The sequence below is a fragment of the Homo sapiens genome, chromosome 12 (assembly GCF_000001405.40).
Source record: "Homo sapiens chromosome 12, GRCh38.p14 Primary Assembly".
Taxonomy (NCBI): Eukaryota; Metazoa; Chordata; class Mammalia; order Primates; family Hominidae; genus Homo; species Homo sapiens.
Window position 1 is genome coordinate 117,232,595 of NC_000012.12, and position 20,149 is coordinate 117,252,743.

Below are 20,149 nucleotides of genomic sequence, written 5' to 3' on the forward strand. Positions count from 1 at the left end.
TCCAAGACAGTGTTATTCTTCTCCCTGCTGAGAAAAATAGAAGCATGGAGAGGTTAAGAAATTTGCCCGAGATCACACAGCTCATAAGCGTGAAGTCAGGCAGTGTGGCTTCAGACGTTGTTCTAACTACTATATTGTACCCCCTCTATACACTCTTCATCCAATACGTCCCTAAATATAAGCCTCTTCTCCATCAGGGGTTCAATCCCAAATAAAAAGCTCTATTTCAACACAGAGGAAGTACTGTCTGGGTTGGATTTATTTTTATTTTTATTTTATTTATTTATTTTTTTGAGACAGGGTCTCACTCTGTTGCCCAGGCGAGTGCAGTGGTGCGATCACAACTCACTGTAGCCTTGAACTCCCGGGCTCAAGTAATCCTCCCACCTCATGCTCCTGAGTAGCTGGGACTACAGACGTGTGCCATCATGCCTCACTACTTTTTTTTTTTTTTTTTTTTTTGAGATGGAGTTTCGCTTTTGCTGCCCAGGCTGGAGTGCAATGGTGTGATGGTGTGATCTTGGCTCACTGCAACCTCTGCCTCCTGGGTTCAAGCGATTCTCCTGCCTCAGCCTCCTGAGTAGCTGGGATTACAGGCATGTGCCACCATGCCTGGCTAATTTTTTGTATTTTTAGTAGAGATGGCATTTCACCATGTTGGCCAGGCTGCTCTCAAACTCCTGACCTCAGGTGATCCACCTGCCTCAGCCTCCCAAAGTGCTGGGATTACAGGAGTGAGCAACCATGCCCGGCCTGATGCCTGGCTAATTTTTGTATTTTTTTTGTAGAGATGCAGTTTTGCCATGTTGCCCAGGCTGGTCTCGAACTCCTGGGCTCAAGTAATCTGCCCGCTTCAGCCTCCCAAAGTATTGGGATTACAGGCGTCAGCCACCTCACTCAGTCAGGATTTATTAAGAGAGGGTATGTCTCAGCCGGGTGCGGTGGCTCATGCCTGTAATCCCAGCACTTTGGGAGGCCAAGGCGGGTGGATTACCTGAGATCAGGAGTTTGAGACCAGCCTGGCCAACATGATGAAACCCTGTCTCTACTAAAAATACAAAAAATTAGCTGGGTGTGGTGGCACGCGCCTGTAATCCCAGCTACTCAGGAGGCTAAGGCAGGAGAATCGCTTGAACCTGGGAGGTGGAGGTTGTGGTGAGCCAAGATTGCGCCACTGCACTCCAGCCTGGGCAACAAGAGCAAAAGTCTGTCTCAAAAAAAAAAAAAAAAAAAAAAAGAGGGTATGTCTCTCTAAAGTAGTGCCTTCCTGAGAGGTTTTCAGCAGGGCTTTGACTACATGCTACTTCACATTCTATCTTGACTTTACATCCTAGCTCTTTTGTAAAAGTGACAGTCCTGTATTGGTCTGCCAGGTAAGCTCACTGCAGTTCCTTGTACCTGACTCCTGAGCCCACCTGTGCTCCTGGATGAAGCACTGAGACCCATTTGCCTTTGAAAGTTCTTCAATATGAATGTCAAGGATGGACACTTAAGCAGGCGAGAACTTGACCTAATGAGGTAAAAAACGTGGGCTCAATCCCTAGTTGGCCATCGAGCTTCCTATAGTACCTTTTGATTCTAAGAGGAGGCAGGATCAGACTTCAGCTGTTATTTACTTGGTGGACAATGGGGTACTAGAGATTTTCCTGAGGGCTAGTGGTGAGGATGGAAAGTGAAAAGAATGGCTACTGCTAAAGTCCGTGTCTAGTCAATGAAGGAAGGTAGCAGCCCCCTTTTTTCAATGGTGAGCCATCAATGGCCTGGCACTATGTGCATTTATTTGCTCAGCTGGTTGGGCCAAGGTTGATCAGTCATGAGAAAGGGGGATATCTTTAGTCTCATAGGCTGTTAGCAACAGACACCCACTCTCCTGCCTGGACTGGTGATTGGGAAGAAAAGGTATCTTCTTCCCGAGACACCCACTGCCTCTGCAGCTCCCTAGAGCAGGGAAGGGTCCCCGGGAATGTTACCTAAAGCCGTGTTCCGCTCCTCCAGCAGTTCCACTTTCACCATCTGGTTGACAGGCGGCGCGTCCTCCAGCCGCTCGATCAGGGCATTCACGAGGTCCTCGTGGTTGCCAGGGAAGACACCCAGGTGGTCCCCAGGCTGGTACTGCAGCTCCTGGCTCCCGTTGGTGTGGAGACGCACGAAGATAGTTGACCGACTGCAGGAAATTGCAGAGGAATCATAGGACAAGGGCCAGCAGCTACTTCCTCCTTTTTTTGCTCTTCTGTCTGTCCTTGTTGGCTGCAATTCTCCTCCTTCCATTCTTGTTGGGGCCCGTGCTAACCAAGCCTATGCCCCCATCATTCTATTATTATTATTATTATTATTATTATGGTGAGATAGGGTTTTGCTCTGTCACCCTGGCTGGAGTGCAGTGGTGCGATCACGGCTCACTGCAGCCTCTATCTCCCAAGCTCAATGATCCTCCCACCTCAGCCTCCCAAGTAGCTGGGACTATAGGCAGGCACCGTCATGCCTGGGTAATTTTGGAATTTTTTGTACAGATGGAATTTCCCTATGTGGCCCAGGCTGGTCTCAAACTTGTGAGCTGAAGCAATCTTCCCACCTCGGCCTTCCAAAGTGCTAGGATTACAAGTAAGGGCCACAATGCTCAGCCATCATTCTACACTGAGGCTTTTATCAAGGTCACCAGTGAACTCCTCACTGCAAATCCAGTGGCTGGTTCCTAGGGTTCATCTGGATCTGGAAGCAGTATTGGGCATAACTCCTCATTCTCTCCTTCTTAACTCCCTTCTTTTGGATTCTAGCACCCCATTCTCAGTACTAATAGGGGTTCTCTCAGTGTCTAGCACTTCACTGGGACCACAGGCTGTGGCATCCCCAATCTGTGAAATTCTATATCTCCTAGGAATTCCAAGCCCCACCCCCTTTGGCAACCAGGGTTCCTCGTATTGTTATGGTAAAGGAAAAAAGACTTGGCTTTAAGCTTGGGTTCCTCCTATGCATAAATTCATCAATATTACAAAATTGAGAGATCTAAAAAGAAAACACAGAAGGAAACTCATTGATGCCACCGGGTTATAACCTTTCTGCATTGATTTTTGTGTTTCAAGTTCAAGAGGCCTGTGCTAATCCAACAGCTTTCAATAATAAACTCTCAGAATGTGATTATTCTGGTCCTTTAAAAAGTTTCAGTACAGGCTGGGCACGGTGGCTCACGCCTGTAATCCCAGCACTTTGGGAGGTGGAGGTACACAGATCACCTGAGGTCAGGAGTTTGAGACCAGCCTGGCCAACATGACAAAACCCCGTCTCTACTAAAAACACAAAAATTAGCTGGGCATTGTGGCATGTGCCTGTAATCCCAGCTACTTGGGAGGCTGAGGCGGGAGAATCGCTTGAACCCAGGAGGTGGAGGTTGCAATGAGCAGAAACTGCACCACTGCATTCCAGCCTGGGCAACAGAGCGAAACTACATCCTCCCACCCCAACCCAAAAAACAAACAAACCCCATATCTGTATTTCAGTACAGATATACTGCATTTCACCCAACACCTGCAAACTCGAGGATCGATTACACTTTGAGAAATCAAATCCTTTGCACCCTTTGAGCTACGATTGCTTTTTCAGATCTGCTTTTTCTTCATTGCCAATTAATTTTCAGTGGCTAGAGACGCTTGATATTCAACATGAAGTTTCTATATTCTCTATGGTATGTAAATCAACACTTGAATAGCCCAATGGGACTCGCTATTTAAAGGACTTTTTGGCTCAACCGAGAACCTTTTGTGCTACAAATAGCCACCATTATTAAAAAGAGTTGAGCGGGCACATTATTTTGGGGGAGGAAAGGGTGTCAAGTATTTTCTTGAAGCAAGGCATCCCCGCCCTTAGCATAGTGGGGAACTTAGCGACCATAATTGTGAATGGCAGTATTAGAGTCTGGAGTCCCACTGGCCCTCCATGGGCAGACCTTGCCCTGTCTGGGAACTTGCACGACTGAGCCTTCTCAGAGCTCACACCAGTCTTTGGTTCCTGGGGAGCAAAAAGACAACACCTCCAGAGAGCTGCAAGAAGGAACTCGCAGAAGCCGGGGCCAGCAGGGGGCGCTGTGGGGTTTCTAATTTGGGAGCCTCCTAAGTCTACCCAAAGGAAGCCTTTGAAAGGCCCGCAAATCAATTCCCGCTTTCTTCCCAGATCATCACGATTTGTACAAAATAGAAATGCAGAGGACCCAAACTTGCTGAGCTAGCTCACGAGCACAGCCACCTCCCCCAAAGTCCTCTTGAACGAGGCAGAGGGTGGCCGTGCAGACAAGGAGCAGGCATGGGAACGTGGCTGGCAGGTGGGCTAGAATGCAAGGTGGGCCCAGGCTCTGGCCCTGCTGGGAGTTTAACCAAGGGGACTGACTCTGCATGCCGCTTGCTGAGAACCCTGGCAGAATGGCTGTGGGGCCCCAGGGCACCTTGGTGGACTGGTCTTTGATGCTTTGCTGGGAAGCCGACCCTCTGGGCGATAGCACTGGCTCAGAAACCAATTGTCTTAAATCTCAGTTCTGCTGAGCTTTGTAAGTAGAGAATTTTTAGCATTTCATTATTATTTTTATTTTTTTTTGAGATGGAGTCTCTCTCTGTTGCCCAGGCTGGAGTGCAGTCCACCTCCTGGGTTCAAGAGATTCTCCTGCCTCAGCCTCCCGAGTAGCTGGGATTACAGTAGCCCGCCACCATGCCCGGCTAGTTTTTGTACTTTTAGCAGAGACAGGGTTTAACCATGATGGCCAGGCTGGTCTCAAATTCCTGATTTCAGATGATCCACCGCCTCAACCTCCCAAAGTGCTAGGATTACAGGTGTGAGCCACCACGCCTGGCCTATTTTTTATTTTTTCTTCAAGCTTGGGACACATATGGGCCATATGAGAAGTACAGGGAGAAGGGGAAGAGGCAATGGAACAGCAGCAGCCATTTGGGCCCTATTCCCTTCTCCCCCCGAGTGTCCCCTCTGTGTGACTTATGTCTAGCCACATCCAGAAGCATCACATATACACACATGCTTGGCGGTGGCTCAATGATAGGTTTGCAGATGAAAGAATAATTTGCTAATGTCCAGCATTAAATGGAAAAAAAAAAACAGAAAATGTGCATTCTTCAGTGAAAAGAGTAAATATTGTCACCTGTGAACTGCTCAAGGTAACAAGGTTCATTCATTCCACACCTGTACATCATGTGTCAGGCACTGTTCTAGGCACTGGTGAGAGAGGGGAAGGACAGCAAAGTGCCCTATTCTCATTGAGAAGTCACTTAAAGGATCTCAGGTGGGGTTGGTGATGTGGACGAGTGGGTGGTGATGGGTTGAGGGGAGCAGGCTATGTCAGACAGGACGGTCAGGGAGACTTCTCTGGCGATTTGACACTTAAGCAGAGACGTGCAAAGACCTGCAGGCACAGCATTCCAGGGATGGGGAAGAGCACGTGCAAAGGCCCAGAGGCAGAGAAAAGGTGGCATGTTCAAGGAAGGGAAAGAAGGCTGGAGTGTTTGTTTGGAGGGTGGTAGTGGCCAGATCACAAGAGCCTCATGATGACCTGTCATGGCAAGGAGTTTGGAGGTTTCCTAAAGTCCAGCAGGAGACCATCAGGGGCTGTGAAGCTGGGGAGTGACAGGCTTCAATTTATGGTTTTAAAAGATTCCTCTGTCTGAGGACCCACTTGCATAGTAAAAGATTAGGGTGGGGGTGGCCAGAAATTCACACCCTATACAAGTAGGACACCTAGTCCTAACCAGTTTTTCGCGCCCTATGCAAATGGGACGCCTGGTCCAACCAATATTTTGCGTCCTATGTAAATCAAACACTGCCTCCTCACCAGGCATCTATAAACCCCCCTGCATTTCACCGTGGATCTGGCAACCCATTTCTCCAGGACCCCTCTGTGCAGCAGAGAGCTATTGTTTCTTTTCTTTTCTTTTCTTTTCTTTTTTTGAGATGGAGTCTCACTCTATTGCCCAGGCTGGAGGGCAGTGGTGCAATTTTGGCTCACTGCAACCTCCACCTCCCAGGTTCAAGTGATTCTCCTGCCTCAGCTTCCTGAGTAGCTGAGATTACAGGCACCTACCACCACACTCACCTAATTTTTGTATTTTTAGTAGAGACAGGGTTTCACCATGCTGGCCAGACTGGTCTCAAACTCCTGACCTCATGATCCGCCTGCCTCGGCCTCCCAAAGTGCTGGGATTACAGCTGTGAGCCACTGCACCCGGCCCTTTCTTTCACCTATTAAACTTCCACTTTTAACCTCAAATAAATAAATACATAAAATAAAGGAAAGAAAAAAAGGAAAAATTCTTCCGTCTGCTCTTCGGAAAATGATGTTTTTAGACACAAGCTTAGAAACCAAGAGACAAGTTGGGTGGCTATTCCAGTCACTCCGACCAGAGATGCCTATGGCTTTGCTCAAAGTGGTGGGTCTGAGATGTAGTTGAAAGACAAGGCCAAGGGCATCTGCTAAGAGACTGCATGACCCAGGCGAGGGAGAGAGAGGAGTGAGGATGACACTGGAAGTTTTGGCTGAAGCCAAATGTTGATGTCCTCTGTTGAGACTGGGAAGGCTGGAGAGAAGAAATTTTACTTGACGGGGGATGAGACTGAAGCATTCTCCCCATCAAGAACTCTCCACTGTAATGTCTGCCATTCTCCCAGACATCCCGGTGCTGACCTTGACTTCTGCTGTTCTTTCTTTCTGGACCTCCCTCCTCTCTCCTGCCTTTCTAAAGCCCACCCTCCCTTAAGAGGTTCATCTCAAGTCCTGCATTCCCCTCTTGCTCCTGACTTCTAGAACTTAGTGTCTACACCCCACACATTAGCGATCCATTATGTTGTCTCTTCTGTGTCGTTTGCTAATTGTTGTACGTGCATTAGAAAATTTATTTCCAGGCTGTGATGGTGACTGCGGTCACTTTTCTCTTTAGATTTTCAAGGATCACCCTCAAAAGGCTGCCTACTTCCTCATAAGCACTTTGTCTGCAATTAGTGGTCTCTCACAGGGGGATTAGTGATATCTTGGTTGTGGCCTTTTGGGCCAGACAGCCCAACTTCAGCCTCAGGCGGGAGAAAAACAGGAGAGTCATGCTTTTCCACTCAATTATCCTTTTTCTTCTTCTTTTTTTTTTTTATAAGCCTTATGAAGCTGGAAACGGTATTAAGCTTGAAAATAGGTAGTGCTTTTAAAGCACTTTAAGCTTGAAAATACAGAACATACTTTTTAAGAGATAAACACGGAGGTGTGACTGGGTCCTTTTTGTGCTAATTCATAACTGATTTTAATTCTACACTCCAGTTCTAACCTTGTTTGGAATATTCTCTTGCTAGTCACTTTTAGACCCGTAGCTTAGAGTCAGGTGCCTCCTCTGGATTGGTGGGGGTGGGGGCTGATTTTGGGACTTTTGGTTCCACTTAGTATCAAAACATTTGCAAGTTTCCTTACTACTTATGTACTATGGCTTTTGGAGTAAATTCTGTAAGCTGGTCTTTCATAGTTTGTTGCTGAAAGAAATTTCCAGTAGATTATTAGGCCTTCTCATACAATGCTACTTAAATCATCCCTTCCCATAGGACCAAAATAAGTAGTGAGAAATATATTTCAAATATGGAGCCCCTCTCTGCATCAGGGACCATTATGCTCTGAATTGCACTTAACTAATTATTCAGAGATTAATTTCCCACTCCATTTCTTTAATGTTTGAGAATCTAAGAGAGAATATGAGAGCCCTGGGGCTCTGCTGTGTTGATCACTTTTATCAAAGGTTTGGAGGATTACATAGAAAGCACACACACTAAATTTGCAGGTGACATGAAGCAGGGATGGATAAGGAATACGGATGGGACTCTATGATATGCTAGTTGTTTTATGTAGCTTATTTTTAATACTCAGCAGCCTTGCAATGCTGGTGAGGCCATCTGTGTAGCCATTTGGCACACTGACTTTGGCGTCAGATAACCGGGTCGGTGTGACCTTGAGAAAGTCACTTGTGTTTTCTAGCTGTCATTGTTCCTATTTAAAATGTGTATGATAAGAGTGCCTACTTCCCAGGCTGGTTAGAATTATAAAAGATCCTGGACAGAGGACTCAGCACAGTGCTTGGAACACAGAAAGCTCTAGAAAAACATTAGCAATCTTCAGAGCTATCATTCCCATTCTGTAGGTAAGGAGACAGGGACTCAGACCACCTAAATGACTTGGCCAAGGCCGCACAGCTAGTGTGTGGCAGAGCTGGGATTAGAACCCAGGACTGCTCAACTCAAGAGCCTACTCTTAGACATCACATCTCAAATTGATCAAACCGGCTCTGTCCATCCATCTCTCTCCTTGTATAAGTAATTTTTCTTTTTCTTTTTTTTTTTTTTTTGAGACAGAGTCTCATTCCGTCGCCCAGGCTGGAGTACAGTGGTGCAACCTTGGCTCACTGCAGCCTCCGCCTCCTGGGTTCCAGCGATTCGCCTGCCTCAGCCTCCTGAGTAGCTGGGATTATAGGCCCCCACAACCACGCCTGGCTAATTTTTGTATTTTTAGTACAGACGGGGTTTCACCACGTTGGTCAGGCTGGTCTCGAACTCCTGACCTCGTGATCCACCCGCCTTGGCCTCCCAAAGTGCTGGGGTTACAGGTGTGAGCCACCGTGCCTGGCCAAGTAATTTTTCTAGCACTAATGAAGGTCTTTGCATTAGTTCCCATTGAATGGAATGTTTTTCACTTTGTAGTTATAGCAGAAGATCTTTTCAAGTCTTGATTCTTTGCGCAGCATAGCTCACTGCAATATGCTTGGTTCACCGGGTTACCCACCTCTGTTCCCAGAGCAGCAAGGGGGTCCTATGGCACTTTGCAATGATTGGAAAACAGCCAGTCCTTGGAATCAACAAGAGCTTGTCCTTTATTGTGGGTGGCACCTGGGAGCAGAGGTGGGTAACCTGGTGAACCAAGCACAGCACAGTGAACTATGCTGTGCAAAGAATCAAGACTTGAAAAGATCTTCTGCTGTAACTACAAAGTGAAAAAGATTCCATTCAACAGGGATCTATGCAAAGACTTTCATTAGTGCTAGAAAAATTATTTATACAAGTAGAGAGATGAGCAGACCTGGTGTGATCATTTTGAGAAGACGTGATGTCTAAGAACAGCAGCGACCGCTTTTAATGGAAGAGCAGAACGGCCATCAGAACCGCGCCTGCGATCTCAGGCAGCATTAGCGCGTCCTGTTCAAATTGGTGATGGTAATAATAACCTCAGCATATTTGGCAGTGATCACATGCTCTCCACTGCACTGTGACCAGGTGAGAGTGACATTTCCAGCAGGACAGAGTGTGTCCTTTTACTAAAGCCAGAGGCTTGGGAAACCATCTCTTAGGAAGAATGACTTGAAGGAATCAGGCCCCACAGGAGATTGGTCAATGTTGTTGGCTATTTCCAGGTCTTTCATTTGGAAAGAAATAAACTTATTTTAGGTGTCACAGAGAGTAAAACTGGGTTTAAAATAAAGTACTAGGAAGACATGCTTTGGTTACATTAGATAAAAAGATATTGGTTATATTGGATATTAAGCTAATTTCTAACACTTAGGACTTCAAAACACAGAGTGGGCTGTTTTGTGAGGTAATGAACCTCCCATCAACCCAAAGAAATTTAAGCAGAGTGTGGGTAGCCACTTTTTAGCACTCCATTAAAAAAATTATCCACAATAGGAAATACTTGGACTAAGTGATTTCCAGCTAAGATGCTGTGGTACAACGAACATGTGGCGAAGCTACAGGGGTGTGGTCTACTGTTAAAAATCACTCAGAAAACCTTTTTCTTTCCTCTTTTCATGAGACCAATACCATCTCCTTTTTCCACTCCTTCAGGTTGGAGCTAGGCAAAAGGAAAGCAGGAACCCCAGACACTATAAAGCAGCAAGGGGGTCTCTATGGCACTTTGCAATGATTGGAGAACAGCCAGTCCTTGGAGTCCACAGGGCTTGTCCTTCATCGTGGGTGGCATTTGGGAGAAGACGTAGGTAACCCAGTGAACCAAGATGTTCCTACCTGGATTTAGGGCTCTGGAGGTTTTGACGGCTAAGGAGCCGGGCAGCTGAGACTCGCTTTTTGTGGACATTGGATAGACCTGTGGGGAGAAAAACAACAGTCTTCCTGAGAAGGGGTTGAATGTTCCATTAAAAACTCCCCAGGTGGGGCAACGTGGCTCACGCCCATAATCCCAACTACTTAGGAGGCTGAGGTGGGAGGATCACTTGAGGCCAGGGGTTCAAGACCAGCCTGGGAAACATAATGAGATCTTGTCTCAGAATATTAATACAAACAAACACTCTGCAGCATTGTATTCACCCTCTACTGACACTTCCACTGCTCTCTGGAGTAGAATGAGAGACAGAAGAGAGGAGATGAGGCAGGCATTGGTTGGGATGGGTGGGGTGGTTGTGGGTAGTGCAGAACAAAAAGAAAATATAGTTGAGTTAAGTTGAGAAGAGGATGGTTTGGAAGAACACAGTACATTACTAGAGAGAGAGAGGGAAACATTTACCAGCACTTGTTTTACTGAGTGTGGGAGAGCAGCAAAGTATTCATTTTGGTAGGACTGCACTAAAGGGAGATCAAAGCAATGAAGCCCATCTTCTCTAAGCACCTTCTGGAGGTGAGATCACCTGCCTTTCCCCCATTGTCACGAATACCTCCCTGGAAGGGTGGTGGGAGGTACCTTGTGTGAGTTCTGGAGCTTCGGCCACAAAGGTGAGGCGGAACTTGTTTCTCTTCCAGCTGCGATCATTGCTGATGAGGGAATTGTTGGCCTTTTCAATGTTGACATCATCTCCCACACAGAAGACATCACAGGCTGCCTGTGGTGTACACAAGGCTTTCAGTGACCTCTTTCAGCCAAGCGGATCTCCTCTCCAACAGCTCCAAGTCATGGCATGTATCTCTTCATTCACCCATCCATCCATCTATCCAACCATCCATCCATCCATCCATCCATCCATCCATCCATCCATCCAGTAACCCTTCCCTCCTTCCCTTCTTCCTTCCCTTCCTTTCTTCCCTCTACCCTTTCGTTGTCTTCCTTCCATCCATTCACCCATCCACTCATCTACTCTTCCATTCATCTACCCTTCCACCCTCCCATCCATGTATCTATCTTTCCATCCATCCATCCATCCACCCATCCATCCACCCACCCACCCATCCATCTTTCCATGCATCCATCCTTCCCTCCATCTACCCACCCACTCATCCATCTTTCCATGCATCCATCCTTCCATCCATCTACCCACCCACCCACCTATCCATCTATCTTTCCATGCAGGCATGCATCCATCCATTCATCTATCCATCCATCCATCCTATATATTTTGAGTGTCTGCGATGTGCTGGACACGTCGGATTTGACATTGACTTTAGGACCTAACCTGTACTTAAGATATAATTCTATTGCGTCATTTATTCCTAAAACTGATGTGTGTAGAGGTTTAACATTAAAGAAGAAAGTAAACATCTCAGAATTTCCCAATCCATCTTCCTTTAATATTTAAGAATTACATAAAGGCAGAGCATATTGAATGTCTGGATGACTGCAAATACATTTTTCTTTTTTTTTTTTGGTCAAGCTCACTTGTTCTTTGACTTTAACAATTCTAAGAATTGCTGTCCTTATTTATTTATTTATTTAAGACAGAATCTCACTCTGTCACCCAGGCTGGAGTGCAGTGGTGTGATCTTGGCTCACTGCAGCCTCGACCTCCTCCCCAGGTTCAAGTTATTCTCATGCCTCAGCCTCCCAGGTAGCTGGGATTACAGGCATGTGCACCATGCCCAGCTAATTTTTAGTAGAGACAGGGTTTCGCCATGTTGGCCAGGCTGGTTTCGAGCTTCTGGCCTCAAGCAATTTGCCCGCCTCAGCCTCCCAAAGTGCTGGGATTGCAGGCATGAGTCACCATGCCCAGCCAATGTCCTGATTTACTTTTTAAGATAAAACCACAGATAATTCAAAATAATGATAACTTTTAAGAGTAGTTTTTACCATTGTTTGACCTCATGTTGACTTCAAAACAATCCAAATGTTCATCAGTGGATGAATGGATTAACAAGATTTGACACATCCATACAACGGAATATTATTTGGCTATAAAAAAGGATGAAGTTCTGATACATGCTATGACACGGATGAACCTTGAAAACATTATACTAAGTGAAAGAAGTCAGTCACAAAAGACCACATATTATATGATTCCATTCATGCGAAATGTCCAGCACAGGGAAATCTACAGAGACAGGAAGTAGATTTGTGGTTTCGAGAGCTGGGGGTGGGATGGGAGGACAGGAGGTTGACAGCTAAAGGGTACAGTGGCTTTTCACAGGCCTTGCTTCCTGGTTGCTCAGTCAAGGTTGGCTGATGGAAATCAAGCAACAGAATTATCTCAATGGGTATAAAAAGCCGTTATCTCATCTCTCTTTGTCTGGGAGGAAATGCAGGAACAGGCTGATGAACATCGCCTCCCCACCTGGAAATCTTTATAGCCCAGGGGCCTCAGCTTCCCCATTTGCTCTCTACCTGCATTTGCTTTCAGGATGAAAAGCGCCAACTGAATGACAGAAGGTTGCATAGTACCCTTTCCCCTGGGGTTGCTGAGGAGAATGTATTCCAAGGCTAGGATGGAGTGGGTAAAACTGGCACAGTCTACATTTATTACCACCTCCCACCCCAGAATGGCCAGTTTAGTTATCCTCATATGCAGACAGAAGGCCATGCATGGTTCATTTATCCCCCGGTGGCCTTAAATTTAAAACAGCTCTGGCCAATAGGATGTCTTATCATGATGGAAAGGTTCTGCACTGTCTAATAGGGTAACCCCTACCCCTGTGGCTACTGAGCATACAAAATGTGCTTACTGCAACTGAGCAATGGGATTTTTTTTAAATACTGAAGAAAGATAACAGTTTATTATAATTTATTTTATTTAACAATCTAGGAAGTTCCAGTGCAATTTCAGGTATAACTGGGGATTCTGGAATCTCAGTGGAGCTGTGACTGTAGTGAACGTTGTATGTGAAATGTGTGCCACACCTGTAATCCCAGCACTTTGGGAGGCCCCGGGGGGCAGACTGACTGAGCTCAGGAGTTCATGACCAGCCTGGGCAACACGGTGAAACCCCATCTCTACTAAAATACAAAAAATTAGCTGGGCATTGCGGCAGGCACCTGTAGTTCCAGCTACTTGGGAGGCTGAGGCAGGAGAATTGCTTGAACCCGGGAGGCGGAGGTTGCAGTGAGCCAACATTGTGTCACTGCACTCCAGCCTGGGTGACAGAGCAAGACTCTGTCTCAAAAACAAAACAAAACAAAACATGTATATTTTTGGTAATATAGGGATAGGAATCTCTCTCTCAAATTAACTTCATTTGTTTTATTTTCAGCTAACTGACCTGGGCCACTCAACATGGCTTTTATCATTCCTGATATTAGCACATGTTCTATTTTTACAATACATTCCTGACCATCAGAAGGTATCAATTAGACATGCATGGCACCAGGGACTTCACAGCCACTATAGGCTTTCTCCTCTCCATCCATTATGTTCTAATGAAATTCTACTTTGCTTCCCCAGGAACTTTAGTGGTTTCCTGGTGAGGTGGGGATGCAGAGTCTGTCACTCTATTCTGTCTGAAGGAAGTCAGGAATGGGATTTTAAACCTGTTTAATTTAATTAATTATTATTATTTTTTAAGCAGATGAGGTCTCACTATGTTGCCCAGGCTGGTCTTGAGCTCCTGGACTCAAGCAATCCTCCTGCCCCAGCCTCCAAAAGTGCTGGGACAACAAGCATCAACCACCATGTCCAGCCTTATTTAATTTTGTACTGTATAGATAGGTATAAATGTAATTCATATAACATACAACTCACTGTTTAAATATGCACAATCCTGTGGCATGTCGAACGTCCACAAGGTTATGCAACCCTTCCCATTACCTGCTTCCAGAACATTCTCATCACCCCCCCAACACTGAAAAACTTTTTTATCTATTAGCAGTCACTTCCATTTCCCATCCCCATAACCCCTAGCAACCACTAACCTGCCTTCTGTCTCTATGGATTTTCTGATTCTGGACATTTTATATAAATGGAATCCTGCAATACATATTCTTTTGTGACTGGCTTCTTCCACTTAGTGTAAAGTTTTCAAGGTCCATCCATGTTGTAGCATGTATCACCACTTCATTCTTTTTTATGGATGAAGAATATTCCATTGCATTGATGTACCACATTTTATTTACCCATTCATCCTACTGAATTTTAATTAGTTTAAGTTTAAATTTAAATGGCTATGTGTGGCTAGTGGCTACCATATTGGTTAGTGAAGATCTAGTACAAGAGGGGTAGGCGTGTCAAAATTGGTAGACTGCCAAGATGTTAGGTTTGGTTTGGTTGACCATCTCTTGTTTTCTTTGTGTACCTGTACACCAAATGGGAGTGACGGATGGCTTCCTCCCAGCCCTGACATTCCAAGACTCTATATAATTTTTTTTATGGACTAACTCCTTGCCCATAATGTAGAATGTTGGATTCTGGGTAGAAAATATGTGTTTTCAGGACACCCAAATTTGTCTGAGCTGTTTAAAGCTGTATCTTGGCTGGATACATGGGAGAGGTACTGAGGGTTCTCTCAAGTTTATTCTCTTCTTGATGGTTTAGGTGCTGTCTTTGGGGGTGTGGGGAGCATTACTTTTTCCTGTAGGTCCATGAGATCCAGATTACCTTGAAGACCTTCTTGGCCCAGGTCCTGAAAGCCTCTTCCTGCCCACAGAGCTCATCCCCTTCCCTCATCTTCAGGATCCTCTCCCCTCCCAGTTCTTCCAGGAGGGTGTCCACAGCGTGTCCGAAGGCGCAAAAGTGAGGGTATGCTCGTGAGCCGAGGCCAAAAACTGAGAACCTGTCAAGGAGATGACAGAATGTTCATGCTAAGGGACTGTGGGGAATGTGGGGAGTGTCTGGTGTAATGGGCTAAACTGTGTCCCCCCAAATTTCATATATTAAAACTCTAATCTCCTCACAATTGTATTTTGAGATAGGGCCTTTAAGGGGTAATTAAGGTTAAATGAGGTTATAAGGGTAAAGCCCTGATCTGATAGGATTAGTGTCCTTATAAGAAGAGGAAGAGCCTGGCTAACACGGTGAAACCCCGTCTCTACTAAAAGTACAAAAAATTAGCCGGGCATGGTGGCAGGCGCCTGTAGTCCCAGCTACTTTGGAGGCTGAGGCAGGAGAATGGTGTGAACCCGGGAGGCGGAGCTTATAGTGAGCCAAGATAGCGCCACTGCACTCCAGCCTGGGTGACAGAGCGAGACTCCGTCTAAAAAAAAAAAAAAAAGAAAAGAAAAAGAAAAGGAAGAGACACCAGAGTGCTCTCTCTCTCTCCTCTCTCTCTAGCTCCCTCTCTCTCTCTCCCTCTTTCCTTTCTCTTTCTCTCTCTGGACATAGCAAGAAGGTGGCTATCTGCAAGCCAGAAAGAGAGACCTCACTAGAAAGCAACGCTGCTAGCACCTTGATCTTGGACTTGTGGCTTCCAGTACCATGAGAAAATAAATTTCTATTCTTTTTTTTTTTAAATTTATTATTATTATACTTTAAGTTTTAGGGTACATGTGCACCATGTGTAGGTTAGTTACATATGTATACATGTGCCATGCTGGTGTGCTGCACCCACTAACTCGTCATCTAGCATTAGGTATATCTCCCAATGCTATCCCTCCCCTCTCCCCCCACCCCACAACAGTCCCCAGAGTGTGATGTTCCCCTTCCTGTGTCCGTGTGTTCTCATTGTTCAATTCCCACCTATGAGTGAGAATATGCGGTGTTTGGTTTTTTGTTCTTGAGATAGTTTACTGAGAATGATGATTTCCAATTTCATCCATGTCCCTACAAAGGACATGAACTCATCATTTTTTATGGCTGCATAGTATTCCATGGTGTATATGTGCCACATTTTCTTAATCCAGTCTATCATTGTTGGACATTTGGGTTGGTTCCAAGTCTTTGCTATTGTGAATAATGCCGCAATAAACATACGTGTGCATATGTCTTTAAAGCAGCATGATTTATAGTCCTTTGGGTATATACCCAGTAATGGGATGGCTGGGTCAAATGGTATTTCTAGTTCTAGATCCCTGAGGAATTGCCACACTGACTTCCACAATGGTTGAACTAGTTTACAGTCCCACCAACGGTGTAAAAGTGTTCCTATTTCTCCACATCCTCTCCAGCACTTGTTGTTTCCTGACTTTTTAATGATTGACATTCTAACTGGTGTGAGACGGTATCTCATTGTGGTTTTGATTTGCATTTCTCTGATGGCCAGTGATGGTGAGCATTTTTTCATGTGTTTTTTGGCTGCATAAATGTCTTCTTTTGAGAAGTGTCTGTTCATGTCCTTTGCCCAATTTTGATGGGGTTGTTTGTTTTTTTCTTGTAAATTTGTTTGAGTTCATTGTAGATTCTGGATATTAGCCCTTTGTCAGATAAGTTGTCTGTCAGTTCTAGAATTACAGCCAATACCACTCAGTCTGTGGTATTTTGTTATGACAGCCTGAACTAATATATCTGGTATCTCAAGAAGAACAGTGTTTAGCTGTTGGTGGTCAGGCAACCCCAAGCTCATCTGTGGAAGGGCACTTGAAACCTAAGGGCTCTCAAGGGTTTCTCTTCGTTTCTTTTGGTCTCTTCTAAGTATCGCCATCATCAGGAGAATATTCTAATTGGTTCTAAGGAGGACGAGTTAGGGACAGCAATGACCTGGAACCACTGGTTGTTTCTTGCATGCTTCTAAGCTGGACCAATTGGGGAAATTAGTCTATGTTAGTGGAAGGCTTGAATTCTACAAGTGACATAACTAGATTAGTTTTAAATATGAAGATAATGAAACTATAATATAATGGTCCTCAGGGACTTGTATTAATGAAAAGACCAGAAGAAATTGTCATCAACACATCAAACAGGTTCTTCTAAAAGGGAATGAAATAGTTATAAGTATTCTGGTTCCATTCCTTGTAAGGTCTATGAAATTAATTTGCTTCACAGACCCTCTGTGCATAGACGCCACCAAGAAAATATTGGTGCTTGAACCAGTGGGGTCAAATTCATGAGCTATTTCTCTATGTTGAGGTGGGGACACTTTGACTGAAGTATGGAAAATGGAGGGCTGTGTCCTAGATGGCTCCTGTAGGGCTGGTACACAGTCCTTCAGACACTTTCTGCTACATTTCCAGAACTTGGTCTTGGCTGTAGGTCTAGACCTCACAGGGACAGGAACAACAGCTTCACCAATGGGACAAATACACCCCACCTTGCCCCACTTTTTAAGGTCAGAGTGTTCTGCTGTAGACTGTCACCTCAGATAAACCATGGAGTGGGGCTACTTAACCTACTCCATACAGGATCAGGCCCTGCCCCTGAATCTCTTTTTTAGGACGATGGGGACAAAATGGTAACAGATTGAGATGGGAAGGAAGGAAGAAGGTAGGAGAAGTTGGAAAGGCACCCTCCATCATTGGAGTATGAACTTGGGGTGGGTCCAGGTGCCTCACAGGTGTAAGTTAATGTAGGTTAATATCCACTCCCCTCAAATCTACACTCATATTGTAACATTTCATCTTCCTCTTCTTCCTTGCCCTCCTTTCCCCAGAATTCCAGAGCCTTTCCAAATAAAGTATGTGGGATTAGATAGCATTTTGCCATTTACTTTTTTTTTTTTTTTTTTTAGACAGAGTTTTGCTCTTGTCACCCAAGCTGAAGTGCAGTGGTGTGATCTTGGCTCACTGCAGCCTCTGCCTCCCAGGTTCAAGTAATTCTCCCGCCTCAGCCTCCAGAGTAGCTGGGATTACAGGCCCCCATAACCACGCGTGGCTAATTTTTGCATTTTTGTTAGAGATGGGGTTTCACCATGTTGGTCATGCTGGTGTCGAACTTCTGACCTCAGGTGATCCACACACCTTGGCCTCCCACAGTGCTGGGATTACAGGCGTGAGCTGCCGTGCCCAGCCTGCCATTTACTCTTAACCAATGATCTTCCTGGATCTAAAAACATTACCCTTTTCTTGCAGGGTGGCGGCCTGACAGGTAGACAGAGATGGTGACTGGGTGTGGACTGACTGGAGGGGTGACAGGAAAGGGAAACCCTACCCAAAGCCACCTGCCTCAGCCTTAGCCCAGTGCAGATCTGGGAACTTCCAGCACTAGTCATGCCTTCTGGTTAAGGTGTTGTTTCCTGAATCTCTGTGATTTATGTTTGTGATGTCTGCCATATTCAATTACCGCTGACACTGTCAATCACTCATTTGTGTTTTTGAACTTGCTTTTAATTTTTCCTCACTAGCTCATCACTCCTATGGTCTGAATGTTTGTGTCTCCCCCAGATTCATAGGTTGAAACCTAACCCCCAATGTCATGGTATTAGTGGCCTTTGGGAGATGATTAGGTCATGAAGGTGAAGCCTCATGAATGGGGTTAGTGCCTCTTAAGGGGCTGAAGAGATCAGAGTTCTTCCCTTCTGCCATGTAAGGACACAGCTGGAAGGCACCGTCTATGAGCCAGAGAGAGGGCCCTCACCAGACACTGAATCTGCTGGCACCTTGATCTTGGACTTCCCAGCCACTAGAACCGTGAGAAATAAATTTCTGTTGTTTACAAGCCACCAGTTTATGGTATTTGGTATAGTAGCCCCAATGGACCAAGGCTCCCAACTCTTGTGTTCACCAACAGATGATGATTCAGGCGGTTGATTCATTAATATTCTTCTTGGTGGGCCTGAGGACCTAGACTACAGTTACTTCTAGTCACATTTCCATCACAATCTTCAGCTTATGATTTCAAGGAATGTAGTAGTAGCGTGATCATGGCTCACCATAGCCTTGATCTCCTAGGCTCATGCAATCCCCCCACCACAGCCTCCCAAGTAGCTGGGACTAAAGACATGTGCCACTATGCCCAGCTAATCAATTAATTTTTTTCATTTTTTTTTTTTTTTGTAGACACAGGGTCCCAATATGTTGCCCAGGCTGGTCTTAAACTCCAGGGCTTAAGTGATCCTCCCACCTTGGCCTCCCAAAGTGCTGGGATGGTAGGTGTGAGCCACTGTGCCTGGTCTTGGCAAACTTTTTTTTTTGAGACAGGGTTTTGCTCTATCGTCCAGGCTGGAATGCAGTGGCGCCATCTCGGCTCACTGTAACCTCTGCCTCCCAGGCTCAAGCGATCTTCCCACCTCAGTCTCCAGAGTAGCTGGGACCACAGGTGCATGCCACCATGCCCAGCTAAGTTTTTATATTTTTGGTGGAAACAGGGTTTTGCTATGTTGCCCAGGCTGGTCTCAAACTCCTGAGCCCAAATGATCTGCCTGTCTTGGCTTCCCAAAGTGCTGGGATTACAGGCATGAGCCACTGTGCCCGGCGTTGGCAAACTTTTTATATGTGGGGGTCAGACAGCAAATATTTTTAGGCTTACAGGCCAAGAAGCAAAATTGAAGCTATTACGTAGGTACTTACAAAACAAGAAAGAAAACAAATTCCTGAACATTCTCAATTGATAAAATTAAAAACATAATAATAACAATTAAGCATACTTTAACACAGGTCTACTATGAGAAGACTGGAATTCATTTTTTGGGAGAGAATAATAACATTTTCTTTATTCGGGTTCAAAGGTAATGTTTTCTACCATCAAACTAATTACAAATGTTCATTGGTAAGAAAACCATTATTAGCTCATGGGTTGTAAAAAATATGCAGTGACCAGGCTGGATTTGGCTCACAGGTGTTAGTTTGCCAGCTCCTGCCATGATAGATTTAATAAGGGAAAAATGGGTCTGACTGTCAAACTCCAGAACTGACGTTTCAGTGTTGAGCTGAAAAAAGTACTGATGTCAAAACCTATAGAATGTTCAACACCAAGAGTGAACCCTAAAGTAAACTATGGACTGTGGCTGATAATGATGTGTCATTGTAGGTACATCAGTTCTAACAAACGCACCACTCTGGTGTGGGATGCTGATAGGAGGAGAGACTGTGAGTGTGTAGGGACAGGAGGATGTGGGAACTCTCTGTACTTTCTGCTCATTTTGCTGTCAACCTAAAATTGCTTTAAAACGTAAAGCCTATTTTAAA

At 45.3% G+C, this 20,149-nt stretch overlaps 1 protein-coding gene and 1 pseudogene across 4 annotated transcripts in view, besides 3 other annotated features; both read right to left on the minus strand.

Annotated features, from left to right (window-relative positions):
• Positions 1 to 20,149, minus strand: part of NOS1 (nitric oxide synthase 1) — a 153,485-nt gene that overhangs the window by 24,453 nt on the left and 108,883 nt on the right. For all 4 annotated transcript variants that reach the window (NM_000620.5, NM_001204218.2, NM_001204214.2 and 1 more), the window contains 4 exons: positions 14,754 to 14,928; positions 10,703 to 10,841; positions 10,033 to 10,111; positions 1,971 to 2,164 (listed from right to left, as the gene is read on the minus strand). In NM_000620.5, coding sequence (NP_000611.1) covers positions 1,971 to 2,164; positions 10,033 to 10,111; positions 10,703 to 10,841; positions 14,754 to 14,928 — 587 coding nt within the window. The remainder of the gene's footprint in view (positions 1 to 1,970; positions 2,165 to 10,032; positions 10,112 to 10,702; positions 10,842 to 14,753; positions 14,929 to 20,149) is intronic.
• Positions 247 to 413: a silencer, noted in NCBI's record as "fragment chr12:117670646-117670812 (GRCh37/hg19 assembly coordinates)". NCBI's record gives its function as "represses an EF-1alpha promoter that drives an FKBP-Casp9 reporter gene in an ReSE screen in K562 erythroleukemia cells {active_cell/tissue: K562}" and the evidence as "EXISTENCE:reporter gene assay evidence [ECO:0000049][PMID:32094911]".
• Positions 3,787 to 4,291: an enhancer, noted in NCBI's record as "H3K4me1 hESC enhancer chr12:117674186-117674690 (GRCh37/hg19 assembly coordinates)". NCBI's record gives its function as "activates a minimal SCP1, AML or CMV promoter by ChIP-STARR-seq in naive H9 embryonic stem cells {active_cell/tissue: H9 hESC(naive)}" and the evidence as "EXISTENCE:reporter gene assay evidence [ECO:0000049][PMID:30033119]".
• Positions 4,292 to 4,796: an enhancer, noted in NCBI's record as "H3K4me1 hESC enhancer chr12:117674691-117675195 (GRCh37/hg19 assembly coordinates)". NCBI's record gives its function as "activates a minimal SCP1, AML or CMV promoter by ChIP-STARR-seq in naive H9 embryonic stem cells {active_cell/tissue: H9 hESC(naive)}" and the evidence as "EXISTENCE:reporter gene assay evidence [ECO:0000049][PMID:30033119]".
• Positions 13,343 to 13,663, minus strand: ELOCP32 (elongin C pseudogene 32; annotated as a pseudogene).